This window comes from Homo sapiens, chromosome X (assembly GCF_000001405.40).
Source record: "Homo sapiens chromosome X, GRCh38.p14 Primary Assembly".
Lineage (NCBI taxonomy): Eukaryota > Metazoa > Chordata > Mammalia > Primates > Hominidae > Homo > Homo sapiens.
The window spans coordinates 9,864,610-9,888,759 of record NC_000023.11 but is presented as its reverse complement, the minus strand read 5'-3'; the positions used below and the strand labels follow the sequence as shown (position 1 = coordinate 9,888,759).

The 24,150-nt window shown below is 45.6% G+C and overlaps 1 protein-coding gene and 1 pseudogene across 2 annotated transcripts in view, besides 2 other annotated features; one reads left to right on the top strand and one right to left on the bottom strand.

Moving 5' to 3' along the window:
- The window catches only part of SHROOM2 (shroom family member 2), a 163,015-nt gene that overhangs the window by 60,684 nt on the left and 78,181 nt on the right, over nucleotides 1–24,150 (bottom strand). For both annotated transcript variants that reach the window (NM_001649.4, XM_005274500.5), the window contains exon 2: nucleotides 14,957–15,108. In NM_001649.4, coding sequence (NP_001640.1) covers nucleotides 14,957–15,108 — 152 coding nt within the window. The remainder of the gene's footprint in view (nucleotides 1–14,956; nucleotides 15,109–24,150) is intronic.
- Nucleotides 21,406–22,371: an enhancer, noted in NCBI's record as "H3K4me1 hESC enhancer chrX:9834429-9835394 (GRCh37/hg19 assembly coordinates)". NCBI's record gives its function as "activates a minimal SCP1, AML or CMV promoter by ChIP-STARR-seq in primed H9 embryonic stem cells {active_cell/tissue: H9 hESC(primed)}" and the evidence as "EXISTENCE:reporter gene assay evidence [ECO:0000049][PMID:30033119]".
- Nucleotides 22,372–23,338: an enhancer, noted in NCBI's record as "H3K4me1 hESC enhancer chrX:9833462-9834428 (GRCh37/hg19 assembly coordinates)". NCBI's record gives its function as "activates a minimal SCP1, AML or CMV promoter by ChIP-STARR-seq in naive H9 embryonic stem cells {active_cell/tissue: H9 hESC(naive)}" and the evidence as "EXISTENCE:reporter gene assay evidence [ECO:0000049][PMID:30033119]".
- Nucleotides 23,217–23,667, top strand: HMGN1P33 (high mobility group nucleosome binding domain 1 pseudogene 33; annotated as a pseudogene).

Sequence of the window (24,150 nt, the reverse complement as noted above, 5' to 3'; positions counted from 1 at the left end):
AAGTATGCATGCAAATGGCCGGGTGCTGTGGCTCACACCTGTAATCCCAGCACTTTGAGAGACTGCCGTGGGAGGATTGCTTTCGGCCAGGAGTTTGAGATCAGCCTGGGTAGCATAGCAAGACCCCATCTCAGCACAAAATTTAAAAATCAGCCGGGCGTGGTGGCGCGCATCTGTGGTTGCAGCTACTAGGGAGAATGAGGTGGGAGGATGATTTGAGCCCAGGAGGTTGAGGCTGTAGTGAGCCGTGTTTGCGCTACTGCACTCCAGCCTGGGGGACAGAGCAAGACCCTGTCTTTTAAAAAATATATACGTGTGACAGATTATGAGGAATCCAGTGACCGTGCCATGCCATGGCATGAGGAAGCCCAAGTGAGCCACGTGGATAAGGCCGTATGGAAAGCGACACCAGGCAGCCCCAGCTGTCGCCCAACCTCCTGGCCCCACGCACCAGACACAGGAGAGAAGGAAGTCATTTGCACGTATGGCCCCTGCAGAGGCAACGTGGAAAAAGACTGAGGAACCCAGCCAGCAGCCAGAACCAAGGCCCAAAGCTTCTGGGCATCTGCTGCTGCTCAAGCCAGCCCCGCGGAAGGCCCCTGTCATGGGGGAAGGGAGAGAGTGAGTCGCAGCTGTGCCCTGCCTCTATTCCTAGCTTTGGCCCTGGACAGATGGACATCAATCCCGGGTGTAGCCACTGACGAGTCAAGAGGGAGGAGGGAAGTCACTTATCCTTATTCATAAGTGGTTAATTTATTCAAAGTGACAAAATCCAAAGTTCAGTTCCTTGGTCATTCTGGCCACATTGCGAGTGCTCAATGGCCACATGTGGGTAGTGGCTACTGCCTGGGCAGCACAGATATGGAACATCTGCAGCCCTGCAGCTGGAGCACTGCCTTAGAGATGTAGTAACCCCATCTCAGCTGCATGGCAGGAATGCTGCTACGCCCCTGCGACTGTCTGCTGCCTGCAACCCTAGCACAGTGACTGTTTACACCGCCTCCCTCCCCAACCCTTCTATCATGTGCAGATAACTACCTTTTAGAGATTTTCTAGAGCATATTTTTAAATCTTGAAATAGCCAGCCCTAACACATAGCATGCTTCTGAGTACCTCCGTATAGGCCAATTGCTTTGTGCTCAATTTTACAACTAGAACTTCTGTTTGACACCACTAATTTTGGGGCCACTTTTCATGCAGCAAAGATGATCAAAATGGAGAGTAATCATCTTAAATCTGCTTTTAAAAACATAATAATTTTAATTTTTTATTTTTTGTAGAGATGAGGTCTTGCTATGTTGCCCAGGCTGGTCTCAAACTCCTGGCCTCAAGCAACTCTCCTGCCTCAGCCTCCGAAAGCACTGAGATTACAGGCATGCGCCACCATGCTCGGCCTTAAATCTGCTTCTGAAAATATCCAGGAAGTATCTTCCTCCCCATGTACACAAAGCTTCAGTTTGCAGAACTGTTTCAAATAAAATGAATCATCCCCATGCACCGATTCCTTAAATCCAAGTATGAAGAGAAATTAGCCCTTTAGCTTGGTCAGTTACATCGGGGAGACAGCAGCTTGCTGGTAACATTAACCTAAACCAGCAGTTAGCCAAAAAACCCAAAATACATCTCAACCTTCCACTGGCCTCAGGCTAAAATAAGAATTAATTCAGTGTTGCAAATGAATAAGGCAGTGACCACAGAAGCCTTCTAGCAGCTGAGAAGGCTAAACAATCCCGTTCCTGGACCAAAATCATTCTGTTGAAATCGGAACATTATGTTTTAAAACAAAATTGTAATAATAATATCATTTCAGATTTACTTTTACCTTAGAAGTTTATTCTATAATGATGATACTCAGCTTATATCTAATACAGACTTTAACAGCTGGCCATTTAGTCAAAACGTATACTGTTCCATGGGTGGAAGAATGGACAAACAAAATGTGGTCTATTCCATACAATGGAATATTACTTGTCAATGAAAAGGAAATTTTGACATATGCTACAACATGGAAGAACCTTGGGGATGGTATGCTACGTGACATTAGACAGTTACAAAAGGACAAATGCTGTATGATTCAACTTATATGAGGTACCTGATTTGTCAAAATCATGAATGCAGAAAGTAGAATGGTGGTTGCCAGGGGGTGGGGGAGGGGAGACTGAGAAGTTGCTGTTTAATGCATATAGAGCCTCTGTTTTGCAAGATGAAACAAGTTTCTGGAGATTGGTTGTATGATGTGAATACACTTAATGCTACTGAACATTACAATGGTTAGGATGGTAAATTTTATGTGTATTTTACCATAATTATCAACAACAACAAAAACCCAAAGTGTATATTGTGCATCTCCCATAGCTATGGGACATCCCTGTGGATGTGTCCATCGGCGGGGACAAAAAGATACAGGGTTGAGGTCAAAATGCAGGCCAGGGAAAGAGGAAGATAGGACAGTCCGAACAGGGGCGTCACAGCCAGAGAGGCTGATGGCATGGAAGAGGGCTCCCCATGGACGGGAATGCATGTGCAGAAGGCATCTTGGGTGGGAGTTGTCGGAGGCAGGCAGGGAACCTGCCTGGAAGTGAGACTTCCATGCCTTCAGAAAATGCATCTCACCTGGTTTATTCCTGCACAAGCACACACTCTTTCCAAACTGTCTGAAGAGAATGAGCAATGCTGTATGAGGCAATGAAAAAATGAAAACAAACCCAGAAGCTGCTTTTTAAAAAGATAATATACAGATATATGTGTTCTTACATATGACACGGTCAGCAGTTCTTATACGAATTGTGGCTTTTTTTTTTTTTTTTTTGACAGGCTCTCCCTCTGCCACCCAGGCTGGAGTACAGTGACGCAATCATGGCTCACTGCAGCCTCGACCTCCTGGGCTCAAGTGATCCTCCCGCCTCAGCCTCTTGAGTAGCTGGGACCACAGACACACACCACCACGCCAAGCTAACTTTTTGTATAATGAGAGATGGGGTATCGTTATGTTGCCCAGGCTGGTCTCACACTCCTGGGCTCAAGAAATCTGCCTGCCTCGGTCTTTCAAAGTGCTGGGATTACAGGCGTGAGCCCCTGTACCTGGCCTAGGGATAATTTTTTAAATAAGCAAATGAAGACACACAGTGAAAAGAGTTGCACTCTTTCTGCTTTAACTGAAGATATCTTGGTTACTGTGGACAGTGAAAATTTACTAATATATATGCTTTTTTTCTCAAGTCTTCTGAATTTCCTGGTGCATAATGAATGTATTTGGGGATCAAGCCGGGGTCAGAGTGGTTTCTGTTTGTTGGCACCTCTGAAATGGCTGGATTGGTGTTGATAAGGAGATGGTGGGGAGGACCTTCAGCCCCTACATGCTGGTCGCTCAATCACAGACCCGTGGAGTTGGGGACAGAGTGCTCTGGCGCCACCTAGAGCCCGCCTACACTCCCGGTCCCTCTGGCTGAGTTTCAAGGGCTCCCAGAAGGACTTGAGTAGACTGAAGGCTGTGGTGTTTCCTCCTGCACAAGCCACGCACTCTTTAAACACTTTAAACCACCTTGTCCCTAGAACCGTGGGTCTCATGTGCAGGACAGACATGTTTCTGTGTATTCCCTTTCATCCTGCAGACTTGACGAGTGCCTTTCTTTCCCCAGTCTGCCTGGTTTTGTGATCATTCTCCCAAGCCATTATCATTTAAAAATTTTATTTATTTAATTCAAAAATTTTTTAAAGAGATGAAGTCTCATCATGTCACCCAGGCTGGTCTTGAACTCCTGGGCTCAAGCAATCCTCCCACCTCGGCCTCCCAAAGTGCTGGGATTACAGGCATGAGCCACCACACCCAGCCCAGGCCATTATCATTCTTCCAAAACATAATGTTTAGCCAATGCATACTATTCCTTTCATATAACAAAACACCATGGTATCGACAATATCGAGTTTTCTGGTACTCCAGATGGAATGATTCATTCTAATGGTGGGTTCCCCTGAAATCCCTTCCCCATGGATTGTATACCAAACTTCATTGAAACTTACTTCAATTTTTTAGAGTAATTTTATATGCTAGGTAGTGTTTGGGTTTTTTTTTTTTTTTTTTTAAAGGACAGGGTTTAGAACACAAATATAAAAAAATGCTAGGATGTCATTGAACATTAAGAACAACAGCTGTATGTTTGAGCCCAGGAGTTCAAGGCTGCAGCGAGCTATTATTGCACCACTGTTCTTCTGCCTGGGTGACAGAGCAAGACTCCATCTCTAAAAAAAAAGAAAGAACAGATTAGATATCAAATATCCTGTTTTATTTTTAAAAGGAATTATTACAAGAACTGCTTCAATGAAATCTTTATTATTCACAAAGAGCAGAATTCCTTCCCTTCCCTCAAACTAAAAAAAAAAAAAAAAAAAAAGAAAAGAAAAAAAAAATCACGAGTGTTGGGTTATTTTCCTAACCTTTTAGAAGAAAGCAAAGAAGCACCTCCTCCCAAGACAAATAGTTTGTGTTTCGTGCCCCCAGCTAACTAAGTGCACAGTAAGAGCACTGGCTGGAGGCCAAGGCAGGGTCTGGGAGGGGAGGCGCCTTGGCCTGCTGGGAGCCTACGGTCTGAAACACAGGCCCACCTGGTCCCCCTGCCTGGAAACTGCGATGGGGGGCGGGGGGTGTTGGTGGTATTACATACGTGGGGGGCTTTTGGCCTACACTGGGAGCTGAGGAACGTTTTGTGGGAAAACAGATAAATAATAGTTTCTAAGGGCTTCTTGGAGATAAGGAAGAGCAGGTTTTGAAAGAAGAGTCTGCAGTTGGAAAGGCCTTGCAGATACCGGTCCAGGATGGGAAGCCCTGGAAACAGTCTGGGGGCCTCAGGGACTGTGACAAGCTTCCTGATGTCAGACCCCAGGGTCTGGGGAGAAGGGAATTTACCTGGCAATTGCTCACACTCTTCTAATCCTTTAAACAAAAACCACCTCTCTGCAAACATCAAATGAACCCCAGCTCTGACTCTGCTTCCTTCCTTTTCCTGCCAATCCTCCGGAAGGCTTCTTCCTCTCCCAGTCTGCCTGCACCTCCTGCCAGATCAGTCTCCCTGCATGCAACACAGCCCTGGCCAGGTCTTGCCCTCACTCTAGAACCATCAGCTGCTCCCAGTTTCCACAAAAGGAAGTCCATGCTCCTAGGTTCTCTGTGGTCTAGTCCAGGGGTTCTCAGAGCATGCTCCCTGGGCCGGCAGCGTCTGTAGCATCTAGGGTCTTGGCAGATAAAGCAAATTCTCATTTCCCCAAGACCAAGGAAGTCTGGGCTGCAGTGGGACAGGAGTGTCTGCACCACCTGAGCAGCTGTGTGTGAGCCACTGGGTGCTGGCCCCATCCTACGTTTCCACCTCCCTCTCCCAAGCCTCCCCCTCTACTGTTCTCACTAGAACTTCCAGCTATGGCTTCCAGCTTTGGAGCACCTAGTATGGCTGGCAGACGTTTATATCTGCCTCTCAAAACTGGCTCAGCTACAAAGGATCGCTCCGCTGGCCTGTCCTCAGCAAAGACTTTCCTGGATCAACTTCCACCCTTCCTTCCTCTCTGAGTCCGCACTTGTGAGAGCTCTTCAGCCCACTCAGCTGCAAGCTCCTGGAAGACGGGACCTAAAGGAATGATTTTAACCACGTGGTGGGAGTGCTTCTCACATACATCACATGAATGTATACAAGTACGCCAGAGCACTCTAGAAATGGTTAACTCTGCATGTATTTTCTATAAGAAAAGTCGCCCCCTAAAGGCACTGTGGGAAGATTTATATGCAGTGTCTTTTCCCAGGCAGTGGTGCGGCAATGCCTGCGTGAATGGTGACATCATGTCTGATAAAGTCTATGGTCCTAGGAGATAAGAGGCAAGTAGTTCCTGCTTTTAAACATGAAGAGAACTGAGGCAAGATAAAAATTCCCAAATGACCTAAGTAGCTGAAACTGAGACATCAGAGCCTCATTGTAAGCAAACGCCAGGGCCCAGCAGCAGCATTCACGTGGGGTGAGAGCCCCAGAGTTGCTCTCCACCTGGCCAGCCTGCCTGCCTCACCCCTAGCAAGAGCGTGCCCCGCCTCTGGCCTCCACCTCTGGTGTTCAACCTGGGTCCTATGGCAGAAAAGACTGCAGAGGAATGCCACAGAAGCCACAGGCAGAACCGAGCGGCACAGAACAGAGGAGTGGAGCAGACCCGAATGACTTGTTTTTCCCATTAACCTCTGTAATGTTCATTTCTATAAACCCATTACTGTTGGAAAGAAAAGGAAAAAAAAAGACGATCGCTGTCCCAGTATCCAAACCACTTGTGTTCAACCATATATATGCCCCAGGTGTCAAATCATCATTTCATTCAGCTTGATGTTTTAAAAAGGGCACCCACACAATTTCCTGGCTATGTTTCAACAGAATGAATTTGTTGGCAAAGAAACTCAGCACATTCAAGTGTGCAGTCATTAATATGACTCGTTTTATATAGCCCTAAGGATGAACACCACGGATATAAGAAAAAAGACACAAAAAGTTTAACTTGTTGAGTCAACATATCAGTATACACATGGCAAAAGCCATACCAAAAAAAAAAAAAAAAAAGCAACAAGGGATTGCAGACTGCTGTTCTCTAAATGCTATGCTATGTATAAAGCGCTCTAGCCATGTAAATAGACGCAAAGGGAAAGGAAAGAGATTTCAAGAAACAATCTCCCCTAGCCCTTTGTGGAATTCTGCCCACTAGAGCTCAGCAAACAATATCCCCACCTAGCCCTTTCTGATGTTCTGCTCATTACATAAAGCCCATAATAATTTACTGTATTTTTACTCAATTTGTCCTCAAATTCCCTTCCCAGAGCCCATGGTTACTCAAGGTACTAGAAGAGTTAAGAAGATACTCTTCATAGAAAAACAAAAACCAAGGTATAGAGAAGAGATACGAGGTTTAGGGAAAGTAACCAATAAAAGAGACTTTACAGTCACAGCACAGCAAAGAAACATTGAGCCCAGACCATGAAAAGAGATGAAACTCAGTGGCAAAATCGGGGAGGCAGAGGGAGGAAGGTCCACGAATTCCTCTGAATGCAAAGTTACAGGCACTACCACCACAGGTGAACTGAATGTGGCAGTAGTGAAATGCTATTACAACTAAATCACATTTCTCCAAAGGAAGCTTGTGCTTTTATTCCAAACTTTTTACAGATCCTATACACATTCAGAGAACTATTAAATACCACTGCACATGTGGTCACTATGGTAAGCCAGACGTCCACTCACATGGGATCGACATATGCCGAATGGCTGATAAAAATCTTCCCTTATTTGATCACTTATCATCTCACCGAGAGGGTGGCAGGCATCCTTTTCTTTGCAAGGGCATTGAGCCAGAGAACATTCCTCTGTGTCTTTACATTTAATAAACCACCATGTCATAGTTGGCAAATCAAAGTAGTGAAATCACTGAAGAAAGATCTGATTCCTTCCTCTTCTTTGTCATTTACTATAACTGCAGACCAATGACCTTGCTTTCCGTACTATTAAAGGCAAGCACACCCACAACCAGCAGAGTAAATGGTACAACTACCCTCCGTGGTGCAGAGAACTGTTGCTACCTGCCCTGTCCATGACGCTGGCTACCTTACCAAAACATGGTCTGGACGTCGGAACTACTCGAGTTATTTAATCAGCCCACTTCACCTCCCCATCAATGCTGTCATGACTACCATTCAGCAAAGCCTTCTGAGCACTCTCCTTAAACATGCCACTCCATTCCATTCCAAAGGCCTTTGGACTCTAACTGCCACAAACAGGCTTTCTTTAACAATAAAACCAAGTTATCAGGCAACTATTCTAAATGGTTTTTATGAGGATTTGGTTCTAAAAGTACCTTCAGATAGCCAAGACGTAGGAACGCATCTTGCAGTTGGGGACAGGAGGGGTTTGAGTGTGTGTGGGTGGGAGGGAGACATGGGATGAAGTTGTTTTCATTATGGAGCATTTTCTTTGTGTGAATAAATTAGCAAGTGACATTAAAACAAACAAACAACAACAACAAAAAAAACAGGCTTTTGTTACAGATAAGGTATGCCCCTCACTTTGTAGAAAGGGCCAAGGCTGTGTCGGGTACTTCATTTCTTCCCCCAAACTCTCCCACCTTGGAACCAATGGGTGTTAGTGGTAACCGGGCTTGAGGTGACAGTTCTAAGAAGAGGCGACATTTACTCCGCCTTTATGACCTGCCGGGCAGCCATCGCTCATGGCTCTGCCAATATCACCTCTCCCTGCCCCTTGGCAACACACTGAAAGCACGTTTGTCTCCATCTGGACAAAGCGGCCAGTGCAGGGCAGAGCATGCCACAGCGTGCCAGTGCCACCACAGCCAAGGACGGGATGGACAGAGAGGGGACCCGCTCAGTGTGCTCCATGTGGGACAGACAGAGCCTTTGGGGACGTCTCGACCTGCAAAGGCCTCATCTACCTGTCCTTTAGGGGTGACTGCAAGGGCGAGTGGCACACTGGACAGAAGCCACATGTGGGCCTCCTGCCCTGCTAAGCCCACTAAGAGGTCAGCACGTGATCCCAGGGGCCCTTGGTGTCTGCTGGGCTGCTGCCTCTCGCAGGACACTACCTCCCAGATGACAGACACCAAGACCTGTCCCCAGATCCCTGCGCCCTCAAGTCTCAAGAGAGGACATTCCCAGAGTCTGCTCTCAAAATCTCACCAGAACACTCTTCTTTCCAAGCCAATAGCAAACTGGGAATTCAACCAGTGTAGATCAACCTTTTCTCCTAAAGCTCAGGGCTTTCAATTTGGTGGATCTCATTACAGCTGCTCTGTTTTAAAAAATAAAAGTCTACATCATTTGTGGAACCGATAAAAAAATAAAAGTCATTTAAACTTCATCGTTAAGGCTAATGCTAACTTCTCAATTCCTTGAACCTCAAAATAAACTTAACCTGTACAGTGTGGATCCCACTGCATAGCACATACAGGTCCTCCAGAGACCCCAAAACAACACAAAAATAAGCTAAACATTCTCTGTAAGTCTTACTATATTAGAAACCATCACTATTTGCAAACATTGATTCATCTGATTAAATTAGCTAAACCACACACTAAGGCAAAACCCCAATAGAAGTAACTTTCCCCAAAATAAAACAATTCTGATCTATGTGGTTTTCTTTTTTCTCCTGATTTTACTTAATAAAAACAATAAGCTGGCCGGGTGCAGTGGCTCACGCCTGTAATCCCAGCACTTTGGCAGGCCAAGTGGGGCAGATTTCTTGAGGCCAGGAGTTCAAGACCAGCCTGGCCAACATGGCGCAACCCCATCCCTACTAAAAATACAAAAATTAGCCAGGTGTGGTGGCACACGCCTGTAGTCCCAGCTACTGGGGAGGCTGAGGCACGAGAATCGCTTGAACCCGGGTGGCGAAGGTTGCAGTGAGCCGAGATCTTGCCACTGCACTCCAGCAACAGAAGGAGACTCTGTCTCAAAAAAATAGAAAAAATAAAATTAAATAAAAAAAAATAAAAACAATAAGCTGGGCATGGTGGCATGCACCTGTAGTCCCAGCTACTCAGTAGGCTGAGGCAAGAGGATCACTTGAGCCCAGGAGTTTGAGGCTGCAGTGAGCTATGATTGTGCCTGTCAGTAGCCACCGCACTCCAGCCTGGGCAACAGAGCAAGATTTCATCCTTCCTTCCTTCCCATCCTCCCTCCCTCCCTCTCTCCTTTCTTTCCTTCACTCATAATAAAATAAATAAATGAAATAAAAACAATAATGGAAAATAGCCTAAACCAGTCAGGGTCTCCTTTGTTTTAACAAGAAAATAAGCACAGTAGCAAACAGCCATTAGACCCCAAATGCTCACAGAATAGAAATACCCACTCCTGAATCACAGACAAAGACATCAGACAGCCTCGAAGGCATGGGTTTCACCTGACGTCCTCCAGTGTCCCCACTAAGGAGCATGCCCTCCATCTGACCATGCACCATTTCTGCCTCAGGAGTAGTTCTGGAGGGGGTGGGGTGCTGGGGGAGTGGGGTGGGGGTGTAAACCTGCTGACGTCTTAGGCGGCCCCTTACTGCTGCCACCGTTGCGAGTAGCAGCTCCCGGAACATCTGTGCTAATCAACCTTAGGGCTGCAGGGCCACCTGCTCCAGGACAGCTCCAAGGAGCCAGCAGCAGAGGGGGGCACAGCACAATGTGGGCTTGGAGCAGCAGTCAGGGCACCTTAGCAATGCCCAAGACGGGACGCATGTTGTAAGAAACCAGCTCCTAGCAAACATGAGTGCTCTCCCTCGACATGCAGCCTCTTCTCTTCAAATGCAGGACCACACCACATGGTCTCGCAAACCCTTGCAGCCTGATGCAGAAAACCCTTCCCTCTGCTGCTAAGCTGCTCCTGAATGCAAGCTTAGTGGATGTAATTAGATTCACAAGAGGGTTTAGGGCTGCCAGCAAAGAGGCAGGAAGTGACATGAATCAACCCTATCCACGATTTGGCCCCCACAAAATGACTCGCAACACATGACCGGTTCAAGAGAAACTGCCCAGAGTGGGGTCTGTGACAAGGTGGCAGGTGGATTTGCTGTAAACAAAACTAATATTATAATGCATATTTGGGGAAAAAGCCAAAAGGGTAATTGCAAAGCTTTAGAAAATAATTTATGATGTGATATTTAAAAGAAATTTTCCCTAGGGTGTTTGAAATTACAGGTGCTTTTTAGAAGCTGAACTTAACAGCCATTTGCCTCTGAAGGGAGAAAAATGGATGACTCTGTCCCTAGAGCTGTTAACGCAGATTTCAGAGAGAAGACAGCAACAGGCAACAGCCACGGTCCCTGGCACCGAGTGGATAGGATGAGCCCAGCTAAGCTAGGAGCTGCCGTCCCCTTCTCGGTCCTTCCCCACCCTCCCAACCCTGCTTCCTCTCCTCCGGAGCAGCTTGAGGGCATCAGGCAGACCTCCCTTTTGCACTAACCCAACTGGGCTAAGTTAATGAGGAAAATGCCAAAGGGTCACCCGGTTTCTGGCCTTAACCTTCCCAAGAACTTGTGCTTAAGGCCAGCAAGCGGTAGATCCGCTGCTAATGCCCAGCGAAATAGCCTGTGGCTCTGTGTGAAGATTCCAGAGCCCAGATCCATTCAAGACCTGCCCAGGACTCTCCAGGGGTGGGCCTGGGCACCTAGGAAAACAGTGCAGTGGAAAAAAACTGGACACACACATACACATAATAAAAGGCTACATGTCTGCCCTGAACTTTCCTGCAAGGAGCACTCCCCTGCCAAGTAGAGACAGAACAACAAACCGCCTGGGAAGAAAGAGAAAAGCAAAACTGCCAGCCTCAGCCTCTCCTCCTGACCTAACCGACAGATCTGACTCCTGGGCAGCACCCCTCCCCTGACATCTCGGGCCGTGGATGCCACCTGGACCTCACAAGGAAGAACATACATGCACTTGGTAGGGCTGATTGTTACAAGTTCTTTGTCTCCAGCTCCCACTGCCCTGGGCGAGAGGAAGCGCTGGCCCTCATTTGTCTGCGGAGATAGTGATCCGCCTGTCTCCTCCCGCATCGCTTTCCCAGCACCAGCTTCTCAACGACCACAAGGTCCACGTTGCCCATGCCTGTGAAACAAGATGCCACCGCTTTGTGAAAGTGGCCCATCGCAATCCTATCCTGGCTGCCTGGTCCCCTGGTCCCCACACATACAAAGATAAAATGAGCCTACAAAATAAGACGTGTAGCAGCTGTCACTACAGGGAGGGGAGTTTATCCGTGAACCACTATTCAAATCATGTTTAAAAAACCATGGAGAGGCCAGGTGCGACGGCTCACGCCTGTAATTCCAGCACTTTGGGAAGATCGCTTGAGCCCAAGAGTTCGAGGCTGCAGTGAGCTATGATCGCACCACTGCACTCCAGCCTAGGCAAAAGAGCAGGAACCTGTCTTTAACAAACAAAAAACCACGGATTCCTGTGCTTTACACAGAGATGTATATACCTCTTTCCCTCATCACATTTTTGCAGATGGGGGCAGACAATTGCAACAAGTCAAACAAGGCTTGGGCAAGCTAGTTTACCATTTGATCACGCTTTTAAGCAGAGCAATATAGAATATGAATATGTTGGTGTCTCAATCTATGAACTACCTGCAGAGTTCCTTTCATGAACTAGCCACTTGTAAGGGTACATGCTCCATCCTGGAGCTCTACATAAAATGCCAGAAAATGCTACCTAATCCATAGAGACAGAAGGCAGATTAGTGGTTGCCTAGGAATGGAGAAAGAGGAGGGCGGGGAGATTTAAATAGAGATTTAAATTTAGATAGAGAAGAATACGTGTTCTGGCTTTAAGAAGAACAATTTTGAAAGCACCCATTGGTGCTTTTGTAGTAAGGAAAACCACATAAAGGTAGTTGGAGTATTAGAAGTTCTATGCACATTTGGTCACAGAAGTCTTCTGTGTTGAGTGTTGTGTGAGAGCAGAGGAAAAACAGCTTGTGGGTTTTTTCCTAACACGGTTATTGAAAGTGTGTTGGGAAATAAAAATTTGTAAATAAACTCCGCTGCTTTATATCTCGTTACACATACTACTTAAATAAAATTCTATTTAAACCACATTATCATTTTGTCCACATCTCTCATTTAAAGGAAAGTGGGTCTGCAGAACACAAAATGGGGATTCTACACAGTGGCTCCTGGAGATCCTTCAGGGCAAAAGTTTAATCCCTTTTCCCAAGAGTCTTTTAAGTACCTACTCAGTGAAACCAGCCAGCAGATGCCCTGAGGCTTCGCTCTCTCCTCCCACCAACCAGTTCTCCTGTGGCATGGCTTTCCTTTGAACAGATTTTAGACTGTCTATCTTTATCACTAAATATGTACTTCTAGCTCAAAAAAAGAATCACATCTACCTTGCTTCTAAACATATGGAATGATACCTGACTTCACTCCCATAACTACGGAAATGCAAATGTAAATAGAAAACCATATTTCACCTATCACATTCAGAGAATACAAACAAACAAACTACAAATATCCTATGCTAGAGATGATGTGAAAGGGTCTGAGAAACTCAGAAATGTCTCTGAACATTCACAACGGACACACCTTCCGACTCAGGAACTCCCATGCTAGGAATTTCTACGCATAGCTATGCCCTGGTGATACAAAGTTGGCCAGCTATGCTGACTAAGCTGGTGTCTCCATCAAAGAAGAGACACACAGTAAGACCACAAGCACAGCCCAGTGTTTTTGGGGTCTCTGGGAGCCCAGAACGAGACAGTACAGGAGACAGAAGAAAAGGGAGTTGCAGTCAGCCTTGGCAGCGGGATGATGACCCCCAGAGCCAATTTATAACTCCTCGTCTTACCTCTGCAGAACAAGCTTCCCTCACCACCACCGGCATTCCACTAAGTTAACTGAATCGTGTAAGAACAAACGTGCTGCTATAGGAGGGTTAAGACGGTGATCACAGAGGAACCATAACACAGTGTCATGGTGCCTCTTGTGCCCCACCCTCCCCAATGGCTCAGAAACCACCATTCTGAGATTTTACTTTCTGATCTACAAAGAGTTGTTAAAAGGGTGCTCAGGAATAGCATGTACCACTTACAATTGACTTTGCTAAATTCATGAGGCAAAAAATGTTTTTCCTTCCTCCCCTTTTTTTTTTTTTTTTTTTTTTTTTTTTTTGAGACAGGGTCTTGCTCTGTCACCCAGCCTGGAATACAGTGGCACAATCATGGCTCGTTGTAGCCTCGACCTCCCAGGCTCAAAGAATCCTCCCATATCAACCTCTCGAGTAACTGGGACCACAGGTGTGCATCATCATGCCCAGCTAATTAAAAAAAAATTTTTTGAGAGAGAGATGGGGTCCCACTATGTTGCCCAGGCTGGTCTCGATTGAACTCCTGGGCTCAAGTGATCCTCCCGCTTCGGCTTCCCAAAGTGCTGGGATTACAGGTGTGAGCCAGCACGTCTGGCCCTTCCTCATTTCTGAATCTTTTCTTTGGATACTGTTTTGGCATCTCCACCCACCCCCACTTCAAAAAAGCCTTTAGGAATTTGTCTTGGCTGGTTTGAGTGCAGCGGTGTTTACAAATAATTAGTCACAACCAGTTACAGATTTCTTTGTTCCTCTCCACGCACACTACTTCACTTGACCAGACTTGAAAAAAAAATTTTTGTTTTTTCAAAACAAGGAAGATATCTTCATGTCTGTACTAAAAATGGAAATAAATGTGGGTCAATTAATTAAAATTTACAGCCAGCCTTCAAAAGAACATGCTAATTTTGTCAAGAGGGATGTGTAAGCACTTGCCTGTTAATAAGCCAACTTTAAAACCAAGGTGGAGAGTTATTTCTCTTTGAAAGCGACATATCACCAACACTCTTGTGGTACCTGGAGTATTGCTTTAGTTCCTGTATATAAAAGCATCATGTCCCCAAGTTCACTTTCTAACCTCTTAAAACCATCCAAGCTCCAACTGACACGTAATGTACAGGAATAGACAGACAGCTCCCTCCAGACCCTCCCTCCAGACCTCAGCACAGTGCTCTAAACCCTTGGTGGCTGGCATCTTCGTGACAGTCACTCTCTTTCTAGCATGAAAACAGAAAGCGCAGTGGCCTGCCACCTTGTGTACAAGACAGGCAACAACATGTCACCTCACTGGGAGCATAAGCACCGTTTTCTGCCTGCCAAGAAAATAATCTACATATAAACAAAGGAAAGATACGAGTATTCAAATCCACTTAATACATTAAAATTTATAAAAATCGTCGTAATAAAATTAGGAACCGTTCAGACTCTTGATGCCGGGCCCATGCTTGGCCGAGACATATAACTCTAAGTGCATGTCCCAATCGAGATCTCTGTAGTGATGTGGGCAGGACAACTGGCTTCCCACTTTGATGTTCCACTCATTCCTGTGTGTCGTGGTAAATGTGGGAGGAAGCTCAGATCTTACCTTTTGACGACCAGCTTCAGGGTCTTATGGGACCCCTTCACCAGGCAAATCGCTTCCTGTCTAAACCCTGAGAGACCAATGTCATTGATGCCGACGATCTCATCTCCAGCCAGTAACTTGTCGACCGCCGCGGCTTTACTGCCCTCTTCAATCTGTAACAGAGAAGCATGTTCCATGAGCCTTCCACGAGCAGCAATTCCTGAGGCAGAGCAGGTCCTCGGAACGCAGCAGACATACCTCACACTTGGCGGGAATGGGCCCTGGGGGCTGACCTTATTACCACTCAGGGGATCAGGGATGCACTACACCCCTCACCCTGGCCTGCCTTCCCTGGACACGACTCCTGTTTATCCAGGGAATGGGAAAGCTTGAGAACACACACAATGGAAAACAGGGGACCTGAAGATACTGATTCATTTTCTAGATCTCCTTTAACCAGACAATAATTTTTGACCATTTTAAATTACTTATTAATTATTTCTCATACATTAATCCTGGAACTAGACTGTTTTTGTAATAGCTTTATAGAAATATAATTCAAATACCATATATTCACTCAAATAAAGCATGGCTTTTAGTATTTTCAGAGTTGTACAACCATCACCACCATCAATATTAGGGCATTTCCCCTAACCCCGAAAGAAACCTTGTGCTCATTACTACTCGGTTTCCAATCCCTCCAGCCTCTGGCAACCACAAATGTACTTTCTGTGTCCATGAATTTGCCTGTCCTAGACAGTTCACATAAATGGAGTAATACAATATGTGGCCTCTTGGGTCTGGCTTCTCTCACTTAGCACGATGCTTTCTAAGTTTATCTACGTTGTAGCATGTAGCAGTACTTCATTTCTTTTTATGGTTGAGTAACATTCACTTGTATGGACAGACCGCATTTTATCTATTCATCAGTGTCTACTTTTGGCTATTATAAAGTGGAACTGCTGCGCCCTATGATAACTACATTTAACAACCTGAGGAGCTTCCAGGCTGTTTTCTACAGCAGCTGTACCGTTTTACATTCCCACCATCGGTGTATGAAGGTTCCAATTTCTCCATATCCTTGCTAACACGTATCTGTTTTTTGTCATAGCCCTAATCCGATTATTATACCATGCCGTGTATGTTAAGATATTCACTACTCAGTGCTAAACACAGTATCCTCCCAATGTGTATTGACTGACTCCGTAACAGCTTGAATGCCATCCATTCTACAGCTTTTTTTCCCTTTTTTCTTTTTTTTGAGACAGAGTCTCGCTCTGTCACCCAGGCTGCAGTGCAGTGGTGCGATCTCGGCTCACTGCAACCTCTGCCTCCTGGTTCAAGCAATTCTCCTGCCTCAGCCTCCTGAGTAGCTGGGATTACAGGCACACGCTACCACGTCCAGCTAATTTTTGTATTTTTAGTAGAGACAGGGTTTCACCCCATTGGCCAGGCTGGTCTTGAACTCCTCTGACCTCGTGATCCACCCGCCTCGGCCTCCCAGAGTGCTGGGATTAGAGGCGTGAGCCACCGTGCGCGGCCTACATTCTGTAACTTTTATTAACCTAGATTTTCCTATACAGTAAAGTAGAACTCAACAGCAATTCATTCCAGTTAATCTGTCCATTTTCTGGCACACTGTGGCCAGTGAGCCAATCCAGCCAGCTTTCTTTCCCCCTCCCACCACCCAAAGTTTTAGTGTAATACAGTCACACCCATTGGTTTACATATTGCTACAGGGCAGAATTGAGTAGCTTGGCCCACAAAGCCAAAAATATTTACTACTGGGCTTGTTCCAAAAATGGTTTGCCAACTGTTTTACACCAAAAAGCTTTATAAACTGCTAGGAAAACCAGTGAGAAGAAATCACTGGTTACAAGCACATCAGCATACAGCCTTTGAATCCACTGCTAGCCAGCTGCATGTCATGGCTAACCCAAGAACAACTTCCAAGAGTGAGCCTGAAGCTAATGCCGTCCATTCTTCTGGCAGTTGAAAAGCTAAGTGTTTTGGATTCAAGCTTACTTCTTGGGGTGGGGGGTCAGGAGAAGCTAGGTGCTAAGTAACTTACAATGCCTCAATTCTGAAGCTGCATATTTTCCTGAAATCTCCACCTAGATCTGAGGACAAGTGAACTTTTGTGAATAAAGCAATTATTCACTGCTAGTCAATACCATAAACAAATTTTAAAAAGCACTCCTAACAAAAATATGCAGCAATTTTTTCAGTCACCAACTGGTTTCAAAAGTTCTAGACGATTTTATCCTGATGTCTTTACAGACTGTAAATAAGCTTCCACCCACTAAGGTTGCACACACAGCCAAGGGATAGCAAAAGGCAGGCGATACCTGGGGGAGACTGGGTTTCGACATGCCCCAAGAGGGAGACCAAGGGGCCGGCCAGGAGGCTGGGGATCTGGAGCAACCCTCCCCCCAGGTTTCTTCACAGAGGAAAGGCTTCTTCCAGGGCTGTGCCTCAGGAGGATGGATCAGAGATGAAGGGCGCTATCTGTTTCTCTAGGTCACTGCTAAGTGCTGTGGCTGGAATGACGCCCGCACATCTGTATTTCGATGCTAGAAAGCCTAAGTGTTGATGTGGCTGACTTTGCTTATTTCTATTGCCCCCTGAACCAAATAAGAGTATCCAGGCAGGGTGGGAAAGACAGTAAAAATGAGGTGTGTATAAGGAGGCAAGTTACAGACATCTGGGGGTCCAGGGATTCCAAGGAAGATCTTGGCATCCTGGAGCTGGTCTTTTGTTTTGGAGCCTTCGGGTCTTTAGTGGCTTTTCTTGCCTGTCGGGAATTCCACCTTGTTGAAAGACCACAGAAGTGTTTTTCTATCCACGTGTTATATCCATGGCTGCCAACTCCGGACCCTAAGACTTCTGGTCTCTTTTTCCTCGTTTCCTTGTATTCACAATGGATAACATAGCTTACCTGCCATGCAGATGCTATTAATTATAGTCACGAATATACAAAACAAGTCAAGTATCAAAAACCCAACTCAAAGTTTTAGACATAACCAATCAGTTCCTCATAATTTTTAGCTGAAACTGTCTATAACTGACCTCAGAATAAAGAATAATTTCTTTCTTCCAAGAGAGATACCCTCATGACAATGTAAACATCCAATTTACTACAAAGAGGTGAAAAGATTGGTCTCTTTAAGTACATTCTGATAGTAGATGTTTCTCCTCTAAACTGTACTTCACGTTACAATTTTGGAAAATTTGCTCCAGAGTAAAGCAGCAAAAGAAAACAATTAATATATATTTATAGACATGTATCTAATTTAAGAGACTTCACCATTAATCTCTATGAATATAGATGATTTTTCCCAATTTTAATTCCACTGCCAAAGGAAACATGGTGTAAAACTCAGAATTTAATTTATACCTTTAATGAGTCTGGAGAAAAGCATAGACAATTACTAAGGGGAAGAATCCAACATTTTACGTAGTAAAGCAAAGCATAAAAATATTGACTAAAGTAACAGAATTGTGAGAAAAATAATACCAGTCACATGCTGATGAAGTAACTGCTTAGAAAACTAATTGAGCCTGTATTTTGAAGTGTCCAAAAATGCACTGTGTTTTTGGAGACAGGGTCACATTCTGTCATCCAAGCTGGAGTGTAATGGCGTGATCACGGCCCACCACAGCCTGCACCTCCCGGTCTCAAGCAATTCTCCCATCTCAGTCTCCCGAATAGCTGGTACTACAGGCATGCACCACCACACCCAGCTAATTTTTAGTTTTTATTTTTTTTGTAGAGATGGGGGTCTCCCTATGTTGCTCAAGCTGGTCTCTAACACCTGAGCTCAAGCCATCCACTTGCCTTGGCCTCGCAAAGTGCTGGGGTTACAAACATGAGCAAAAATGCACATTTACAAAGTATAATTCTATCATCACAAATTTCTAAGGACATCGATACACCTACTGCGTACTCACAAAAATTAAAACAAAAAACCTTGATACTTTTTTCATAAATTTGCATTAAAAAACAACAACAATAAAAAATAAATTTCAAAGGACAGAGCCTTATTTTGTTTTTGCCTTTAAACAATTATGAGTTCTAGGTGAACACAACCCAAATGTCAATCAACAGGTGAATGGATAAATAAAATATGGCATATACATACACATATAATGGGAATATTATTCAGCCTTAAAAAAGGAGAGAAACTCTGACACAGGCAACAACATGGATGAACCTTGAGGACATTATGCTAAGTGAAATAAACCAGTCAAAAATGGAGAAACACTATACGATTGAATTCAGGTACCTGAGTCATCAAAAGGATAGACAGAGAAAGTGGAATGGTGATTACCAGGGGCTGGGGAGAGGAGGGAATGGCAAGTTAGTGTTTAATAGGCAGAGAGGTTCAGTTTGGGAAGATGACAAGTTCTGAAAATGGACAGTGGTGATGGTTGGACAACAATGTAAATGTACTTAACACATCACTGAACAGTACACTTGAAAATTATTAAGAAGATAAGTTTCATATTATGTGTATTTTACCATAATAAAAAGTTATGCATTCCTCAATATCTAAAAACAAGGGGCTGGGTGCGGTGGCTCATGCCTGTAATCCCAGCACTTTGGGAGGCCAAGGCAGGCGGATTACCTGAGGTCAGGAGTTCAAGACCAGCGTGGCCAACATGGTGAAACCCTGTCTCTACTAAAAATACAAACAAAAACTAGCTGGGCATGGTGGCGCATGCCTGTAATCCCAGCTACTCGGGAAGCTGAGGCATGAGAATTGCTTGCTCCTGAGAGGTGGAGGTTACAGTGAGCCAATATCATGCCACTGCACTCCAGCCTGGGCGACAAAGTGAGACTCTGTCTTGAAAAATTAAAATTAAAAAAATTAAAATAAAATCAAGGAAACTATTTTGACCCAGTATAAGAGTGATATATAGTGAACTTTAAAATTGTGTCTAGGGCTGAGAGCAGTGGCTCATGCCTGGAATCCCACCACTTTGGGAGGCCAATGTGGAAGGATCGCTTGATTCCAGGAGTTCGAGACTAGCCTGGGTAATATAACAAAAGAAATCCTGTCTCTACAAAAAAAAAAAAAAAAAAAAAAAAAAAAAGGGTAAAAAATTAGCCAGATATGGTGGCACCCAGCTACTCAGGAGGCACCCAGGTACTTGGGAAGCTAAGGCAGCAGGATCACTTGAGCCCAGAGGGTTGAGGCCGCAGTGAGCCGTTATCATGCCAACCCACTCTAGCCTGGGTGACAGAGCGAGACCCTGTCTCAAAAAAATAAAAATAAAAGGCTGGGCACGGTGGCTCACGCTTGTAATCCCAGCACTTTGCGAGGCTGAGGTGGGTGGATCACGAGGTCAGGAGTTCGAGACCAACCTGCCCAAGATGGTGAAACCCCATCTCTACTAAAAATACAAAAATTGGCTGGGCTTGGTGGCACGCTCCTGTAATCCCAGCTACCCAGGAGACTGAGTCAGGAGAGTCGCTTGAACCCGGAAGGTGGAGGTTGCAGTGGGCTGAGATTGCGCCACTGCACTCCAGCCTGGGCGACAGCGTGAGACTTCATCTAAAAAAATAAATAAATAAATAAAATAAAAATAAAAATAAAAATAAAAATAAAAATAAATGAAGTTGTGTCCTTCTCTCCACAATGACATGTTTGAATTTAAGTATCACAGGAAAATCTTTAGGCAAAACCATAAAGACTCATGGCTTGCAGGGTCTTGGGACAGCTTTTGAAGCAGCACTTCTTCAGGGTGACACAGTTCTGTGTCTGACTCAGTGGTGACCGGGTGGGGTTTTCGGTGGGAATGTGTCTCATTCCCACAAGCACGTGTGTAAGCAAGTCCTGAAGGACTCTCAGAAAGGGCTGTCAGTTGCTCTGACTTCACTGCAAAGGACAACATGATGCTGTTTCTTCTCATCTGCAAGGATTCCTAAAGCTTCCCCTCTAGATATGAAGGACGCATTCCACAACATCCATCAGCCTTCCCCCACCACACTCCACCTATATTTCCCAGCAAAAATGTGTTTTGGTTTGGGAGATAAAAGTCTTCATTTTTTCCCCTGGCTTCCTTATCCAGATAAAGTACCTCTACATGTTTATGGTGCTATGGGGAAAAGTAGTCAGAAAAGCAGCAGCAGCTTTGAAAACCTCCATTCTATTCTCTTTGCCCCACTGAACTTCTCAAGTTCAGTAGAATTAATTAGGCTTAATTAGGCACCTTAGGGAAGGTGCCGCATGCGTGATAGCATCACAATGATGCTCATTTTGTCACAGTCCCAGGTCTACAAGGTAAGGAAGCACTTGGCACTGCACCGATTAGTGACAGCCGCTTAATGTCTGTGGAGTGCCAGAGCCACAAATGAGGAAGTTCTGTCCTGTAGTACTTAGGAAAAATCTTTGCTCTCACTTGCTCTAACCTCAAAAAGCCCCTCTACAAAAAGCTAGGAAGTCAATCATCCCCGACCCATGACGATGCCGGCCCAGGTGCCATGCTATGGGCACTCACAGACCCAAAGCACCAAGTCCACACACCCGGGCAAATACTGTTGTTTTAGTTATTAACTGATATTCTGTGTGGAAACTCACTCTTATGGCCCCGATTAGAGTTCAACGTCTCCTAACGTGCAGAATGCCTCATTGTTCTCATGGAAATGTTTTCTCTAGGAACAGCAGGAAAAAAACAGTTAATCAAAGTCTTTTATGGAACAAAGTTGTTGATACTTCGTTGAAGAGACAATCCAAATGAAGTCCCATAAGGGCAAGGGCATCCTGAGTGCAGCGGGGGAGCAGGCTCACGCTGAAAAGAATGGGGTCCCTGCAGTGGCAGCATGAGGGGGATGTGACCCTCTGTCTCGGGTGGAGATAAGAAGGCCTCCAAATAGAAACGGCAACTAGAAAAAGCTGGGAAGGCCTTCCGCAGAGGCTTCCCCGTGAAGAAGGGCGTGGAGGCAGGAGGCCTGAGGCATGAGTGTGTGTGCAGGGGAGTGTCTGAAGATAGGGCCGAAGTGGGGGAAGACGAGGACCCCGCCCTGGAATGGGAATCTGGACGCTGTCCTGCAGGCAGTGGGGGCCCAGCGAAGGCAGCCATGGCAGTGGAGGAGTGAACTCATCACTACAGCAGCTGCTTCTGGAAGACTCGTCTTATAGTCACACACAAATGAATTTATTTGGCAATAAGAATAAAACGACAAGGACAACGACCCTGATGGGCACTACCCCTACATCTCTGCAGAACTCCTGGGGTAAGAGGCAGAGAAAAATCACGGGAGTAATGCACCAACTCCAGAGGCTGGGAAGGAAGATCTGGACATGTCACCTGCCGCAGGGTTTTCAGCTTGAGGGATTTGGAAAATCACAGTGACCAGAAATCAAAATGAGAGGAGAGAAAGCAGTTTTTTTTTAAGTCCAATATCATATTTCAAGGGCTATGAGTCACACCTGCAATTGATCAATTCTGACCACCTCAACAATGCTTCGCTTTCCAGAGATAAAATATCTGCATGATGAGGACAAGCACTGAAGTCACCTCTCAGTCTGCTTAATTTATTGAGCTCGGCGTCTTCAGAAAGGAAACCTGACTCATCCAGGAAAGAGACACGTTGGGAAATAAATGAGAACACCTTGTCCACACTGAAGGTTCTCTGTGAGACAGACTTGTGCTCCGATAACAGGGAAGCCCCTAGAAGATGGAAATCCCCACCCAAATGTGTTGAGACTTAAAAAAAAAAAAAAAAAAAAAAAATTCCTGGCCCCTGCTGTGGTCCCAGAGGCCAGGGCAGGGAAGGGAGTTGCGGTGCATCCAGATTCATAAGGCTTTTGGGCAGCAGGCACCAGGCACCGCCAAGATGCCCAAGGGGAAGGTCAGGTCAGCCCCAGGGGTGGCCAAGGCACAGCCCAGAGGTCCGCCAGGCTGTCGGCTCAACCTGCTTCTGCAGAAGTGGAAATGAAGCCCAAAAAGGCAGCAGGAGGCCAGGCGCGGTGGCTCACGCTTGTAATCTCAGCACTTTGGGAGGGTGAGGTGGGCGAATCATGAGGTCAGGAGATCGAGACCATCCTGGCTAACATGGTGAAACCCCGTCTCTACTAAAAATACAAAAAATTATCCAGGTGTGGTGGCGGGCACCTGTAGTCCCAGCTACTCGGGAGGCTGAGGCAGGAGAATAGTGTGAACCTGGGAGGCAGAGCTTGCAGTGAGTCGAGATGGAGCCACTGCACTCCAGCCTGGGCAACACAGCGAGACTCCAACTCAAAAAAAAAAAAAAAAAAAAAAAAGGCAGCAGGAAAGGATAAATCCTTAGGGAAAAAAAGCACAAAAGAGAAAAGGGGGAGCAAAGGGCAAATGGGCTGAAGTGGCTCAGCAGGAACCTGAAGATTGACCTGCAGGAAGCGGAGTCTAAATGCAAGTAGAGTCCAGGCTCCCAGGAAGCAGGAGGGAAAGAAACCTGATTACTATCATACACTGCTCAGCAGCCCCTGTCTCCCTTCCCATATATGCCAGGGGAATACTTTCAGCAACTGTTTTGTAAATGCAAGTTTTTTAGTAGTTCTGTAAACATTTTTAAGGAGAGAATCCCACCTAATTCCATGTTTTAAGCATAAATGCTTTTTTTAAAAGAGGTGAAATCATTTGCTAGTTGTTTTTTGGTATATATTTTATGAGAGGCTTTGACTGTCTTGGGTGCTAGGCTGGGTGGACAGTTTTCATATCCTACAGCACAAAGCATACTGACTGGCAATTTGCAGTCATGGTCAGGCCTTTAATATGTCTTGAGCAGCTTAAATTACTTATACTCATAGGTTTGCTTTTTGTTTTTGAGACTGGGTCTCGCTCTGTTGCACAGGCTGGAGTGCAGTGGTGCGATCACAGCTCACTGCAGCCTCGAACTCCCAGGCTCAAGCGATCCTCCTGCCTCAGCCTCCCAAGAAGGTGGGACTACAGGCATGTGTCACCACACCTGGCTAATTTTTTATTTATTTATTTTTATTTATTTATTTATTTTTTGAGACGGAGTCTCGCTCTGTCGCCCAGGCTGGAGTGCAGTGGCGGGATCTCGGCTCACTGCAAGCTCCGCCTCCCGGGTTCACGCCATTCTCCTGCCTCAGCCTCCCAAGTAGCTGGGACTACAGGCGCCCGCCACTACGCCCGGCTAATTTTTTGTATTTTTAGTAGAGACGGGGTTTCACCGTTTTTTTTTTTAGCCGGGATGGTCTCGATCT